This window comes from Homo sapiens, chromosome 16 (genome assembly GCF_000001405.40).
Source record: "Homo sapiens chromosome 16, GRCh38.p14 Primary Assembly".
Taxonomy (NCBI): domain Eukaryota; kingdom Metazoa; phylum Chordata; class Mammalia; order Primates; family Hominidae; genus Homo; species Homo sapiens.
The window spans coordinates 50,142,914-50,156,663 of NC_000016.10; the positions used below are offsets into that span (position 1 = coordinate 50,142,914).

Genomic DNA, 13,750 nt, shown 5'->3' on the forward strand with positions numbered 1-13,750 from the left:
TTCTAAAAAGAATAAATAACTAAATGAAAACACATTTAAATTTGCATGATTCTTGGGTAGTTTTCTTTCTTATTTCTCTACTAAATTTTTACTCTGTAGAACTTTGGCATTTCAGTAAATCTTACAAGTTAAGACTATCAATTCAACATCTTTCTTGCCTAGGAAGAAAAATATTGAGAATGAACGGGGTGCTAAATTGTGGAGGAACATGTCTGGGGTTGTGATAGCTGCGTTTTTTGGCTTATCAATGTTGACGATTTTCAAGACTCCAATAAATGTCTGCTCTTTTGTTCTAAATAGCAAAATGAAAACGCTGAGTAAAATTGATTATTGAAATTGGTGTTGTCTATTTTTTAAAATGCAGTAGTAGATTATTTGGGATAAAACATTGAAGATTTGTTGGGGAAAGTGAATGCAGTTGTTCCTTGAACTGTGTGAGTTCACTTATATGTGGATATTTTCAATAAATATATGGGAAAAATTTTCAGAGATTTGGGACAATTTGAGAAAACTTGGAGAATAGCCTAGAAATGGCAAAAAAAAAAAAAAAAATTAAAAAAGTTGGCCAGGTGCAGTGGCTCATGCCTGTAATCCCAGCACTTTGGGAGGCCAAGGCGGGTGGATCCCCTAAGGTCAGGGGTTCGAGACCAGCTTGGCCAACATGGTGAAACCCCACCTCTACTAAAAATACAAAAATTAGCTGGATCTGGTGGCACACCCCTGTAATCCCAGCTACTTGGGAGGCTGAGGCACGAGAATCACTTGAACCCAGGAGGCGGAGGCTGCAATGAGCCGAGGTCACGCCCCTGCACTCCAGCCTGGGTGACAGAGTGAGACTCTGTCTCAAAAAAAAAAAAAAAAATTAAGAAAAGTCAGGTAGGAATGCACAAGATATGTGTAGACACTAGTGTATTTTATCATTTACTACCATAAAATATGCACAAACCTGTTATAAAAAGTTAAAATTTGGCCAGTGCGGTGGCTCACACCTGTAATCCCAGCACTTTGGGAGACTAAGGCGGGTGGATCACGAGGTCAGGAGCTCGAGACTAGCCTGGCCAACATGGTGAAACCCCGTCTCTACTAAAAGTACAAAAATTAGCCGGGTGTGGTGGCAGGCACCTGTAGTCCCAGCTACCCAGGAGGCCGAGGCAGGAGAATTGCTTGAACCCGGGAGGCAGGGATTGCAGTGAGCCGAGATCGTGCCACTGCATTCCAGCCTGGGCGACAAGGCGAGATTCCATCTCAAAAAAAAAAAAAAAGTTAAAATTTGCCCAAACTGATGCACAAATATACTTACAGATTATACATGGCATCACTCACAGTTGAAAAAAATGTAAACAAACAAAGATGCGATAGTAAATCATAACTGAAAAAAATTACCTGTAGTACATAGTGCAGTACTATAATAATTTTGTAGTTACTTCTAGTTGTTATTGAGAACATCTGCTTAAAACACCAGGTACCATTAATCATCTGTGTGAGCAGTTGTCTCTTTGGCAAACTGTACAGAGCAGTGAAAAGTGATCTCTCTCAGTTCTCGAGTAGAAACCTTGTATCACTTATGGGACCCATTCTAATGATGCTGGAAGTGCTCCCAAGGAGCAGAGGAAAGTCTTGACATTAGAAGAAAAAGTTGAATTGCTTGCTATGTACCCTACCCAGATTGAGGTCTGCAGCTGTGGGTGCCTGCCATTTCGGATAGATGATTCGTCCTGTAAACAGATGACATGAAGTTAAGGTATCAACAAATATAGTACAGTACTGTAAATGCATTTTATCTTCCTTATAATTAATTTATTTTGAGATAGGGTCTTGCTCTGCTGCCCAGGCTGGAGTACGGGTGGCACGATCTTGACTCACTGCAACCTCTGCCTCCTGGGCTCAAGAAATCCTCCCGCCTCAGTCTCCTGAGTTGCGACTACAGGTGTGTGCCACCACAGCCAGCTAATTAAAAAAATTTTTTTGTACAGATGAGATTTCACTATATGCTCAAGCTGGTCTCTAATTCCTGGGCTCAAGTGATCCTCCCACCTCAGCCTCCCAAAGTGCTGAGATTACAGGCATGAACCACTGGGGCTGGCCTCTTATAATTTATTTAGTAACATTTTATTTTATTTCCTTTTTTTTACATTTTATTTTCTTTAGCTTACTTTAAGAATACACTATAGGCTGGGGGCAGAGGCTCATGCCTGTAATCTCAGCATTTTGGGAGGCCGAGGCAGGCGGAACACCTGAGGTCAGGAGTTCGAGACCAGCCTGACCAACATGAAGAAATCCCGTCTCTAATAAAAATAGAAAAATTAGCCAAGCGTGATGATGCATGGCTATAATCCCAGCTACTCAGGAAGCTGAGGCAGGAGAATCGTTTGAACCTGGGAGGCTGAGGTTGCGGTGAGCCGAAATCATGCCATTGCACTCCAGCCTGGGCAACAAGAGCGAAACTCCATCTAAAAATATATATATATATATAAAATAATTTTTTAAATAATAATATAAAATAGTATAAAATTATTTACATTTTATATCACTATATAATATATAAACATAGTCTCACTATGTTGCCCAGGCTGGTCTCAAACTCCTGGACTCAAGAAATCCTCCCACCTCAGCCTCCAAACTGTTGGAATTACAGGTGTGAGCTATGGTGCACAGCCTGGTTTTTTTTTTTTTAGAGACAGGATCTCTCTCTGTTGCCCAGGCTGAAATGCAGAGGTGTGATCATAGCTCACTGAAGCCTTGAACTCCTGGCCTCAAGCAATCCACCGGCCTTGGCCTTCCACAGTGCTGGGATTACAGGCATGAGCCACCACACTTGTCTAGTAGTTAAAATTTTGAGGAATCAAAAGTTATATGCTGGCCAGGTGTGATGGCTCACATCTGTGATCCCAACATTTTGGGAGGCTGAAGTGGGGAGGACTGCTTGAACCCAGATGTTCAAGACCAACCAGGGCAATATACTGAGACCCCTTCTCTAAAAAAAATAGAAAAAGTTAGGTGGGTTTGACAGCACGCGTCTGTAGTCCCAGCTACTCAGGAGGCAGAGGCAGGAAGATTACTTGAGCTCGGGAGGTTGAGACTGCAGTGAGCCGCCATCATGCCACTGCATTCCAGCATGGGCAGCAGAGTGAGACTGTGCCTCAAAAAGAAAAGCTACACGCCGATTTTCAATAGTGCGACTGAGGTCATTACCCCAACCCTGAATTGTTCAAGGGTCAACTGTACATTTTAGTGTATGCGAAATACCCAACTGTTTTACTTTGGGCTGCATAATTTTTTTCTTTAAAAATTTTTTTTTCTTAAAATTGATGGGGTGCCCAGGCTGATCTCGAACTCCTAGGCTCAAGGGATCCTCCCACCTTTGCCTCCCCTGTAGCTGAGATGATAGGTTTGTGCCACCATGTCCAGGGAGCTGATTGATTGATTGATTGATTGATTTTGAGATGGGGTCTCACTCTGTCACCCAGGCTGGAGTGCAGTGTTGTGATCTCAGCTCATTGCAACCTCTGCCTCCCAGGCTCAAGCGATCCTCCCACCTCACCTCCTGAGTAGCTGGGACTGCAGGCACAGGCCACCATGCCTGGCTAATTTTTTGTATTTTTAGGAGAAACAACATGTTGCCCAGGAAAGTTTCAAACTCCTGGGCTCAAGCAATCTGCCCACCTTGGCCTCCCAAAGTGCTGGGATTACAGGAGCGAGCCACCGCACTCGGCCCCAGCTGAATGATTTTTAAGGTACCTTCCAGAAGACATGCTTTATAATTCTATACCATGGCACACATCCGACACTCAATCACAGTGCCTCATCTTGTTGCACCCAGAGCAGGTTCCTGACCCAGGGCCTTGGTGTTTGCCATCCCCTCTGTCTAATGGACCATTCCTTAGATGGTCACAGCCCACTCCTTTGCTTACCGCTCGGCTCAAATATCGCTTCCTCAGAGCAGCCTTCCCTGATTAGCCTATCTAAAAATAGCATACTGTCACTGTCCTTTAGCCTGCCTTCTTTTTCTTCATCGCATTTACCACTGTCTGACTTTATAGGCTTCCCTTGCTCACTGGCAAACTAGGTCCACCAGGGCAGGGACCTCATCAGAATTGTTCGTTGCTGTATCCCCAGAATCTGGCATCTAATAGTTGCTCAAGACCATATTTATTGAATTAATTGAATGAATTGCAATTTGAGTTTAAATATTTACTTCTTTTTGCCTCCTCAACCAGACAGGAAATTCATGGAAGGCAGCCAAAGGCCCTGGTTGCTTATTTATCTCCTCTAAAGCAATTAGCTCAATTCTGCATGGGTGACAGACATTCAACCAAGATTTGCTGAAGGCCTTGAAACAAGGATAAGTTACACAGCTAACCAACATGCATTCTTTCCAGGTGAATGAACACAGTAATGCCTTGTCTTTAGGCCCACACATCACAGTCTACAAAGTTTTTATTTTTATTTTTGAGACAAGAGTCTCCCTTTGTTGCCCAGGCTGGAGTGGAGTGGCATGATCTTGGCTCACTGCAACTTCCCCCTCCTGGGTTCAGGTGATTCTCCTGCCTCAGCCTCCCAAGTAGCTGGGATTACAGACACACGCCACTACGCCTGGCTAGTTTTTTGTACTTTTGGTAGAGATGGGGTTTCACCATGTTCACCAGGCTGGTCTTGAACTCCTGACCTCAAGTGATCTGCTCACCTCGGCCTCCCAAAGTGCTGGGATTACAGGCATGAACCACTGCGCCTGGTCATAAAGGTTTTTTGTTTGTTTGTCTCTTTGTTTGTTTTCAGACAGAGTTTCCCTCTTGTTGCCCAGGCTGGAGTGCAATGGCACGATCTCGGCTCACTGCAACCTCCGCCTACCAAGTTCAAGCAATTCTCCTGCCTCAGCCCCCTGAGTAGCTGGGATTACAGGCATGCACCACCATGCCCAGCTAATTTTGTATTTTTAGTAGAGACGGGGTTTCTCCATGTTGGTCAGGCTGGTCTCCAACTCCCAACCTCAGATGATCCACCCATCTCGGCCTCCCAAAATGCTGGGATTACAGGCATGAGCCACCGTGCCCGGCACCACAAAGTGATTTTTATATTTTTTTCTATAGAGGTGGGGTCTTGTCATGTTGCCCAAGCTGGTCTCAAACTCCTGAGCTGAAGCAATCTGCCCACTTTGGCCTCCAGAAGTGCTGGGATTATAGGCTTGAGCCACTGCACCCGGCCTACAATGTATTTTTATGTATGTTAACTAATTTTTAGCATTTTGCCAATACTTTAGTAGTTCTTAACCTTTGCCTGAGGAAATCAGCACTCAAATATAACAAATGTTAATTTCTTGCACATGCTATTACTAATTTTGAGTACCTTGAAAAAACTTAGATATCAATGGCATTTAATGTGTTCTAGAATGTCTGAATAAATATTTTATTTTATTTATTTTTTTGAGACAGGGTTTCATTCTGTCACCCAGGCTACAGTACAGTGGTGCAATGTCGGCTCACTGCAACCTCTGCCTCCTAGGTTCAAGTGATTCTCCTGCCTCAGCCTCCCAAGTAGCTGGGATTACAGGTGTGCGCCTATGAGGCCCAGCTAATTTTTGTGTTTTTAGTAGAGATGGGGTTTCACCATGTTGTCCAGGCTGCTTTCAAACTCCTGACCTCAAGTGATCCATCTGCCTCTGCCTTCCAAAGTGCTGGGATTACAGGTGTGAGCCACCGTGCCTGGTCCTAAAGAAATATTTTAAGAGACTGGAATATATACCTGTATTTCAACATGTACATATGCATGGAGAGATTTTTGGATGAATGTTTAACAATTTTCACAGTGGGCATTTCTGTTGGTGGGACCTTGATAACATCTGTTTTTTTTTTTTTTTGATGGAGTCTCGCTGTGTCACCCAGGCTGGAGTATAGTGGTGCAATCTCAGCTGACTGCAACCTCTGCCTCCCGGGTTCAAGTGATCCTTCCACCTCAGCCTCCAGAGTAGCTGGGACTACTTGTGTGCGCCACCACCCCGGCTACATTTTTTGTATTTTTAGTAGAGATGGGGTTTCACCATGTTGGTCAGGCTGGTCTCAAACTCCTGACCTCAAGTGATCCTCCTACCTCAGCCTCCCAAAGTGCTGGGATTACAGGTGTGAGCCACCGCGCCCAGCCAATAATGTTTAGTGTTTTGGGCTTTCCATTGTTCTTATTTGAATTAAAAAGAAAAATGTTTTCCTGACCTTATGTCTTGAGATTGAATTTAAAAATTTTATTATTATTACTATTATTATTATTATTTTTACAGGCAGGGTCTTGCTATATTGCCCAGACTGGTCTCAAACTCCAAGCCTCAAGCCACCTTCCGGCCTAAACCTCCCAAAGCACTGGGATTATAGGTGTAATCCACCATGCCTCTCCTGAATTTTTTTTTTTCAAGCAGGGTTTAAGAAAATATATTTAAATTTTTTAGTTTTATTTCCTTTTCTTCTCTTTTGAGACAAAAATCTCGCTGTGTTGCCCAGGCTGGTCTTGAACTTCTGGGCTCAAGTGATCTTCCTGCCTCAGCCTCCCAAAGTACTGGGATTACAGGCATGAGCCACTGCGCCTGGTCATTTTTATTTTTATTTTTAAGACAGGATCTCACTCAGGCTGGAGTGCAGTGTCACAAACATGGCTCACTGTAGCCTCGACCTCCTGTGCTCAAGCCATACTCCCACCTCAGCCTCCCGAGTAGTTGGGACCACAGGCACTCGCCACCAAGCACAGCTAATTTTATTTATTTATTTATTTATTTATTGAGACGGAGTCTAGCTCTGTCGCCCAGGCTGGAGTGCAGTGGCACGATCTCGGCTCACTGTAACCTCTGCCTCCCAAGTTCAAGTGATTCTCCCACCTCAGCCTCCTGAGTAACTGGCCTTAGAGATGTGGGCCACCATGCCCGGCTAATTTCTTTTTTTAAGTAGAGATGGAGTTTCACCATGTTGGCCAGGCTGGTCTCAAACTACTGACCTCAAGCGATCTGCCTGCCTCAGCCTCCCGAATTGCTGGGATTACAGGCGTGAGCCACCACACTTGGCCTGAAAGCATGGATCTTAAGTACCCAGCATCCTGAGAAGACAGAGTTTACAAAAGTATGTAAATCAAATGTATCTCTGATACTTTGCTGAAGAAAGCCTTTTACTTAACATACTTAGGATATTACTATGGTGTAACTGATGAATTAGCATCTGATAATAGTTTGGATATCTGTCTCCTCCAAATTTCATGTTGAATATTTTTTTCTTTTTTATTACCTTGATCCTACGTTAAAGGAAAAGGCCCAGCTCATTTTTAAATTTTTTGTAGAGACAGAGGTCTCACCATGTTGCCTAGGCTGTTCTCAAACTCCTGGCTTCAAGTAATCCTCTCACCTCAGTCTTCCAAAGTGCTGGGATTACAGGCATGAGCCACTGCATCCTGCTGAGAGAGAGAGAGAGATAGATATATATATATATAATTTTTTTTTTTTGAGACAGAGTCTCACTGTGTCACCTAGGCTGGAGTGCAATGACGCGATCTCGGCGCACCAAAACCTCTGCCTCCAAGGTTCAAATGATTCTCCTGCCTCAGCCTTCCAAGTAGCTGGGATTACAGGCATGTGCCACCACACCCGGCTAATTTTTTGTATTTTTAGTAGAGACGGGGTTTCACCACATTGGCCAGGCTGGTCTCGGGAACTCCTGAGCTCATGATCTGCCCGCGTCAGCCTCCCAAAATGTTGGGATTACAGGTGTGAGTCACCACGCCCGGCCAGAGATTCAATTTTTAAAACAAATATGAGGTCAGCAAACAAAATCTATTTCTATACAATGTTTTATTTTTGTCAGTGTAAATAACACAAAAAATACGGCTACTTATTTTCCTGGCTATGTAATAATTAGTACATAGCAAATTTCATTCAGGGAAAACTTTTTTTTTTTTTTTTTTTTGAGATGGAGTCTCGCTCTGTCACCCAGGCTGGAGTGCAATGGCGAGATCTCGGCTCACCACAACCTCCACCTCCTGGGTTCATGTGATTCTCCTGCCTCAACCTCCTAAGTAGCTGGGATTACAGGCATGCGCCACCACACCCGGCTAATTTTGTATTTTTAGTAGAGATGGGGTTTTTCCGTGTTGGTCAGGCTGGTCTCGAACTCCCGACCTCAGGTGATCTGCCTGCCTTGACTTCCCAAAACGCTGGGATTACAAGTGTGAGCAACCGCCCCCGGACAGAGAAAACTTTTAATACTGATTTCTAGTAAAGCAACAGCAACAATCAAATTGAATGAATCAAAATTCCGAAGGGTTTTTTTTGTTTGTTTTTGGTGGACAGGAAGTAGGATTTACTGGGGAGTATTAAGAGGGGGCAGCACAGTGGAAGCCCTCACGAGGGCAGGGCACGCCACTTGTCCAGAGGGCCATGATGGGGATGTACTTGACCCCACAGTCATCTGCGATGAGCCGCTTTTCAGCCACCATGTCTTCAAATTCATCCGCAGTGAACTTGGTGAAGCCCCACTTCTTTGAAATGTGGATCTTCTGGCAGCCAGGGAACTTGAACTTGGCCCTGAGCAGGGATTCAATCACATGCTCCTTATTCTGCAGCTTGTTGCAGATGGACATGATAACTTGGCCAATGTGAACCCTGGCCACAGTGCCCTGGAGCTTTTCAAAGGCACCTCGAATATCTGCCTGGAGCCTACATTGGCGTAGTGCAAGGTCAAAGACATGAACATACATCTGAAAGGCCTGTCTCCATGGTCCCTTAGAGCAGCCCATACAAGAAACAGGCTGCATAAACTACCAAGGAAGCTGTTGTTTGCAGCTGAAGGGTCTTTGTGTGTTTTCCGTATTTCTGGTCGTGCTATTTATTCTCTTACCAAAAAAAAAAAAAAAAGTAAGGTCAGGCGTGGTGGCTCACCCCCTTGTAATCCCAGCAGTTTTGGAGTCTGAGGTAGGAGGATCGCTTAAGTCCAGGAGTTCCAGACCAGCCTGGGCAGCGCAGAGCAACTTCGTCTCTATGCCATGTTGACGCGTGCCTATAGTCCTAGCTACTCGGAGGCTGGGGCAAGAGGATCGCTTGAACCCAAGAGGCCGAGCCTGCAGTGAGCTGTGAATGAGTCACTGAACTCCAGATGACAGAGCAAGAGTTAGTCTCGAAAGAAAGAAAAAGGTAGAGCGACACTTAGTTCTTTGATAGTTTTCCACTATTTGTCATAAAAACTTTCCAGGATATTGAGCTCCCAAAATGGAAGGCCAATATCAGGCATCAGGGACTTGTTCTGGACGTTGGACCAACCTTAAAGGGCCCACATAGAAGCTGTTCACTTACTTTCTTTTAGTCTCTTGATTTAAAATACTTAACATTCCCCTTTCCTTGGCTTTTTAACCACTGAGATTTGAAAGACATGCAAATAACGACCTAGTGGACAATCTTTGCTGATGCTAAATCTTCATTTTAGGATTAAAAGGTTTTGGGTTTTCTTAAAATTTAATGCTGAACTCAGAAGAGCTTTCTAAGGCTGTTGGTGCACCTTAGGGCAGGAGAGCGTCTTTGCTACGCCGCGCAGGAGTGTGTCTGCTTCTCTGTGCATCTACACGTGTTTGCGTGTCCCTGTAAAGTGGGTTGAGTGTGCGGCTGCGGCTTTCCGCCCTTGGCTCACACTCTCAGTCTTAGTGGTCTCCCCCAGGGCTATGCATGGGGTACAGGTTTCTGTGGCCTCAGGCCGGGGTGAGGGGTCCCCCACCCCGGCCAGGGCGCAGCAGGGCGGGGCACACGTAGCCGTGCAGGGTCTCGCGCAGCCCGCGTCAGGACCCCGGGGCACACGCTCGGGCAGGGGGCGTGTCCCCACGCCACCAGAAAAAGTGTTATAGGCTGTTTTTTTTTTTTTTTTTTTTTTTAAAAAGAAAGTGTTTTAGAAAGCAGGCAGAAGCCAAGACGTCAGGAAGGGTTGCGAGGGCCCGGGATCCGGCGGCCACAGGGATGGGAGGGGCGAGGAGCGAGGGGCGGAGTGGCACCTCCCACAACGCGCTCCCTGCGGGGCGGGCGGCAACCTCCATGCGGCCTCGTCCACGCTCAGCACCGGGGAAGCCGAGGCGGAGAAGCCGCGCGCGCCTCAGAAGCTCCCGGACGCCCAGGTACGTGGGAGCACTCCACAGATGGCGCAAGTACGGTTGGGCCAGGCGGTTGCGGCCCCGTCGCGCCGCGGCCTCTGTGACGCACGGCGAGGCCTCCCGGGCTGCTGCGCGGCGCAGCGGGGGCGGGGCGAGCGCGTGAGGGCGGGGCGGTGGGGGGGGGGGGCGGAGCGAGAGGGGCGGAGCCGGCAGAGGCCCCGCCCCGGGGCCGGAGGAGCGAGGACGCTACGGAGCAGGCGCGTCTCGCTGCCGCCGCTGCCGCCGCCGCCGCTCGCTCTTCTGTGGAGCCGCCGCCGCCGCCGCCGCCATTTGCACGGGGACCCCAGTGACAGGGGCTCGGCGGAGGGGCGGAGGGGCGGAGGGAGGGGGGGAGGGCCCGCGGAGCCCCCGAGGGCGGGAGCGACGCCGCCGGCGCCGGCCGGGCTCCCTGCGCGACCGCGCCGCCCGCGGCGGGCCCCGAGCAGCAGCAGCAGCAGCAGCGGCAGCAGCGGCAGCAGCAGCAGCAGCCGAGGCCGGGCGTGCGCCTGAGGCGGCGGCGGCGGCGGCCCTGCGGGCGGCCGGGAGGGGCGGGGGCAGCGGCCGCCGCCGTTTGATGGATCCGAGGATCGCCTGGTTTCAGCCAGAGCAGCTCGGACCGTCCAACAGTCTGTGGATGCAGATCTGGGAGACGACCCAGGGGCTGAGGAACCTCTACTTCAACCACCACTGTCACAGCAGCGGCGGCGCGAGCGGCGGCGGCGGCAGCAGCAGCAGCAGCAGCACGGCCACCGGCGGGAGCGGCAGCAGCACCGGCAGCCCCGGCGGCGCGGCCTCGGCCCCGGCCCCGGCCCCGGCCGGCATGTATCGCTCCGGGGAGCGCCTGCTGGGCAGCCACGCGCTGCCCGCGGAGCAGCGGGACTTCCTGCCCCTAGAGACGACCAACAACAACAACAACCACCACCAGCCCGGGGCCTGGGCCCGCCGGGCGGGCTCCTCGGCGTCCTCGCCTCCCTCGGCGTCCTCGTCCCCGCACCCTTCGGCCGCCGTCCCCGCCGCCGATCCAGCCGATTCGGCCTCGGGCAGCAGCAACAAGAGGAAGCGCGACAACAAGGCCAGCACGTATGGACTCAACTACAGCCTGCTGCAGCCCAGCGGAGGGCGGGCCGCGGGGGGCGGCCGAGCAGACGGCGGCGGGGTCGTGTACAGCGGGACCCCGTGGAAACGGAGGAACTACAACCAGGGAGTCGTGGGGTGAGTGCTGGCTCTGCGGCCCGATGGCCTGGCCGGTGCGAATGCGCAGCCGGGCACACGCCCACAGAGGGGGGTTGTGAGGGTCTAGGAGCGGCCACCCCCACGGCCTGCCTTCGCTGCTGTTGCACGGGGGTGCTGCTGGCCATCCCCAACCCCCCAGTCGTTCACACCTTTCCCCAAGCCTCCTTAGCCGTCCACACCCTCCGTCTCCTGTCCTCCCTTAGTCGTCCACACCTTCCTCCCCTCCCTCTTAACCGTCCACACCTTCCCCAGGCCCCCCCCTTTATCCATTCACTCTCCTCCCATCCCCCTTAGTTAAACACATCTACCCTTGACCACCACCCCGCCTCCAGCCCTCCACACCTTTTTCCCCATCATCACAACTCAAGATGAGACCGCTTAGCACGGGCCTATCATTCATTCCCTGAGAACATTGGTGTGTGAGTGTTTTTTGATGGTGCAGGACCCGGAGGTGCTTTCCTTGCCAAGAATAGAAACATCCAGAATGCTCCTCCCCATCCCCCAATCCCAGACAGCAATTATGTCAGCCCTGTAAGGCATTGCCTGCTCTTGACCCTTTGGCCCATCTTTTTATTTTTAAAAAATTCCCATGTCACAGATGCCCTGTCTATGCAGAGGGTGGCGTGGGATGGGTGACCACTAAGTTTAGGCTGGTGAAGGTGGTGAGCCCTTCTGAGGCCCTGATAGAACTTTCCAGGAGTTCATGGTCCGCGGCTCCAGCTTCTCACTGTAAAGTTGTCATCCTGGCAGAGGCAGCCAATGCTTTTCATTCTAGGGGGTAGAGATTTATGCTAATGAGTGAATATTGCACCACTAGTGACTTTCTGTTTAAAGTTCAGCTCTTAGAAAATGGAATCTTACCTGACCCCTAGTGAATTATGTACATAAGCAGGGAATGTTTCCAACTAGATCTCCCTTCAGAAGAGTCCCTGTGCTGGAATAGGTCACTGAATCTTATTTGTTTTGTAAAACAAAGCTTTTGGGTCTCGTGGGTGTGTGTGTGTGTGTGTGTGTGTGTGTGTGTGTGTGTGTAGCTTGAGTATGGAGAACCGGCTTTCAAATTGCTTTTCATTTTTCAGGTTGTGTTTTACATTGAGGGCTTTAGCATGCAAATGAAATTACCAATTAGTAATCCCATGTGAACCTTTTCCTGGATTTATTCATTCAGATCTGCCCTGCTTTGGCTGAGAGAGAGAGTTCTGTGTACCTTTTTGAAGGTCTGGATAAAATGAGTTGGTGGGTTCCATCTGCTTCCAGTGGGCTGGTGTCTGCTCTATGCTACTATTACAACTCCTACCTTTTGTGGAAAATGCAGTCAAGCGTTCTAGGACTGGTGCTGTGGTACATGTCAAACCTGCCCTCACATTCCAGAAAGGGAACCCTTTTAGGGTTGAGTCCTCTGTTGCTAAGCTTCAAGGGTGCTCTCCATGGTCATCACGTTTTATTAAAGGCTTGTGGTTCCATCCTGTTAGCATTTCCAAGTCTACGCGTAAACCTGTGGTTTAGTGACAAGCAAATTGATGTTGAGGGTTTCTGGTAGTTTCATTTCACAGGAGTAAGCTCCAGTTAGGTAATCACTGTCAACGAAAACCTTGAAGTTCCTTAATTGCATTTTACTGAAGCCTCTTTGCATGTGTCTAGCAAAAGATATAAGTCCAAGATGCTTATTTTTTTTTTGATAAATTAGAAATTGTCCTCTCCTCTACTTGCTATTTAATGCAGAAGATACTCTAAAAGGTTCATATTTATACTTAGAAGCAAGATGTTCTTGTTCCTGATTCAAATATATTGCCCTCAAAGGGATTAGGAGAGGAATTTTCATTTCCCGGAGGGATTACTGTTTAAAAACTGGTTGTAAACCTCTTTAAAAACTGCTTATCACTTCACCAGATTTTCCATTCTTTTGCCTCCTCCCTTAGAGGATGTCAGCAGTTAATTTTTTTTTTAAATTAAAAAAAGTTCAATTCTGAGACCTCCTAGTTTCAAAAAATACATTAAACAATTCCCAAGAGTGTTAAGAGTGTCTGGGTGCTTAGAAATTCTTGCTTTGATTCATGTATTCTGATTTTTTTTTTTTTTTTGAGACGGAGTTTCGCTCTTGTTGCCCAGGCTGGAGTGCAGTGGCTCGATCTCAGCTCACCGCAACCTCTGCCTCCCAGGTTCAAGCGATTCTGCTGCCTCAGCCTCCCGAGTAGCTGGGATTACAGGCGCTTGCCACCACGCCTGGCTAATTTTTTATTTTTAGTAGAGACGGGGTTTCTTCATGTTGGTCAGGCTGGTCTCGAACTCCTGACCTCAGGTGATCTGCCCGTCTTGGCCTCCCAAAGGACTGGGATTACAGGCATGAGCCACCGTGCCCGGCCTCATTATCCTGATTTCTTTT

General features: G+C 48.4%; 1 protein-coding gene and 2 pseudogenes across 10 annotated transcripts in view, besides 10 other annotated features; 1 reads left to right on the plus strand and 2 right to left on the minus strand.

The window, feature by feature from the left end:
- Positions 669-829: a silencer, noted in NCBI's record as "fragment chr16:50177493-50177653 (GRCh37/hg19 assembly coordinates)". NCBI's record gives its function as "represses an EF-1alpha promoter that drives an FKBP-Casp9 reporter gene in an ReSE screen in both phorbol 12-myristate 13-acetate-treated (for megakaryocytic differentiation) and untreated K562 erythroleukemia cells {active_cell/tissue: K562 | K562(+PMA)}" and the evidence as "EXISTENCE:reporter gene assay evidence [ECO:0000049][PMID:32094911]".
- On the minus strand, positions 8,306-8,682 carry RPL10P14 (ribosomal protein L10 pseudogene 14; annotated as a pseudogene).
- Positions 8,729-8,818, minus strand: LOC124900375 (uncharacterized; annotated as a pseudogene).
- Positions 9,449-10,406: an enhancer, noted in NCBI's record as "H3K27ac hESC enhancer chr16:50186273-50187230 (GRCh37/hg19 assembly coordinates)". NCBI's record gives its function as "activates a minimal SCP1, AML or CMV promoter by ChIP-STARR-seq in naive H9 embryonic stem cells {active_cell/tissue: H9 hESC(naive)}" and the evidence as "EXISTENCE:reporter gene assay evidence [ECO:0000049][PMID:30033119]".
- Positions 9,633-9,722: a silencer, noted in NCBI's record as "silent region_7472". NCBI's record gives its function as "represses an Ori minimal core promoter by ATAC-STARR-seq in GM12878 lymphoblastoid cells {active_cell/tissue: GM12878}" and the evidence as "EXISTENCE:reporter gene assay evidence [ECO:0000049][PMID:35858748]".
- Positions 9,943-10,112: a silencer, noted in NCBI's record as "silent region_7473". NCBI's record gives its function as "represses an Ori minimal core promoter by ATAC-STARR-seq in GM12878 lymphoblastoid cells {active_cell/tissue: GM12878}" and the evidence as "EXISTENCE:reporter gene assay evidence [ECO:0000049][PMID:35858748]".
- TENT4B (terminal nucleotidyltransferase 4B) overlaps positions 9,998-13,750 on the plus strand; it is an 82,400-nt gene continuing 78,647 nt past the window's right edge. For 2 of the 10 annotated variants that reach the window (NM_001365323.2, XM_047434476.1), the window contains exons 1-2: positions 9,998-10,119; positions 10,736-11,346. In NM_001365323.2, the coding sequence (NP_001352252.1) occupies positions 10,769-11,346 (578 nt within the window). In that variant the 5' untranslated portion in view covers positions 9,998-10,119; positions 10,736-10,768. Of the gene's footprint in view, positions 10,120-10,392; positions 11,347-13,750 lie in introns of those variants that run through there. The other 8 variants (XM_011523275.4, XM_011523276.3, NM_001040284.3 and 5 more) reach the window with 4 other exon arrangements.
- Positions 10,223-10,382: a silencer, noted in NCBI's record as "silent region_7474". NCBI's record gives its function as "represses an Ori minimal core promoter by ATAC-STARR-seq in GM12878 lymphoblastoid cells {active_cell/tissue: GM12878}" and the evidence as "EXISTENCE:reporter gene assay evidence [ECO:0000049][PMID:35858748]".
- Positions 10,613-10,712: a silencer, noted in NCBI's record as "silent region_7475". NCBI's record gives its function as "represses an Ori minimal core promoter by ATAC-STARR-seq in GM12878 lymphoblastoid cells {active_cell/tissue: GM12878}" and the evidence as "EXISTENCE:reporter gene assay evidence [ECO:0000049][PMID:35858748]".
- Positions 10,893-10,942: a silencer, noted in NCBI's record as "silent region_7476". NCBI's record gives its function as "represses an Ori minimal core promoter by ATAC-STARR-seq in GM12878 lymphoblastoid cells {active_cell/tissue: GM12878}" and the evidence as "EXISTENCE:reporter gene assay evidence [ECO:0000049][PMID:35858748]".
- Positions 11,063-11,232: a silencer, noted in NCBI's record as "silent region_7477". NCBI's record gives its function as "represses an Ori minimal core promoter by ATAC-STARR-seq in GM12878 lymphoblastoid cells {active_cell/tissue: GM12878}" and the evidence as "EXISTENCE:reporter gene assay evidence [ECO:0000049][PMID:35858748]".
- Positions 12,044-12,093: an enhancer, noted in NCBI's record as "active region_10808". NCBI's record gives its function as "activates an Ori minimal core promoter by ATAC-STARR-seq in GM12878 lymphoblastoid cells {active_cell/tissue: GM12878}" and the evidence as "EXISTENCE:reporter gene assay evidence [ECO:0000049][PMID:35858748]".
- Positions 12,953-13,012: an enhancer, noted in NCBI's record as "active region_10809". NCBI's record gives its function as "activates an Ori minimal core promoter by ATAC-STARR-seq in GM12878 lymphoblastoid cells {active_cell/tissue: GM12878}" and the evidence as "EXISTENCE:reporter gene assay evidence [ECO:0000049][PMID:35858748]".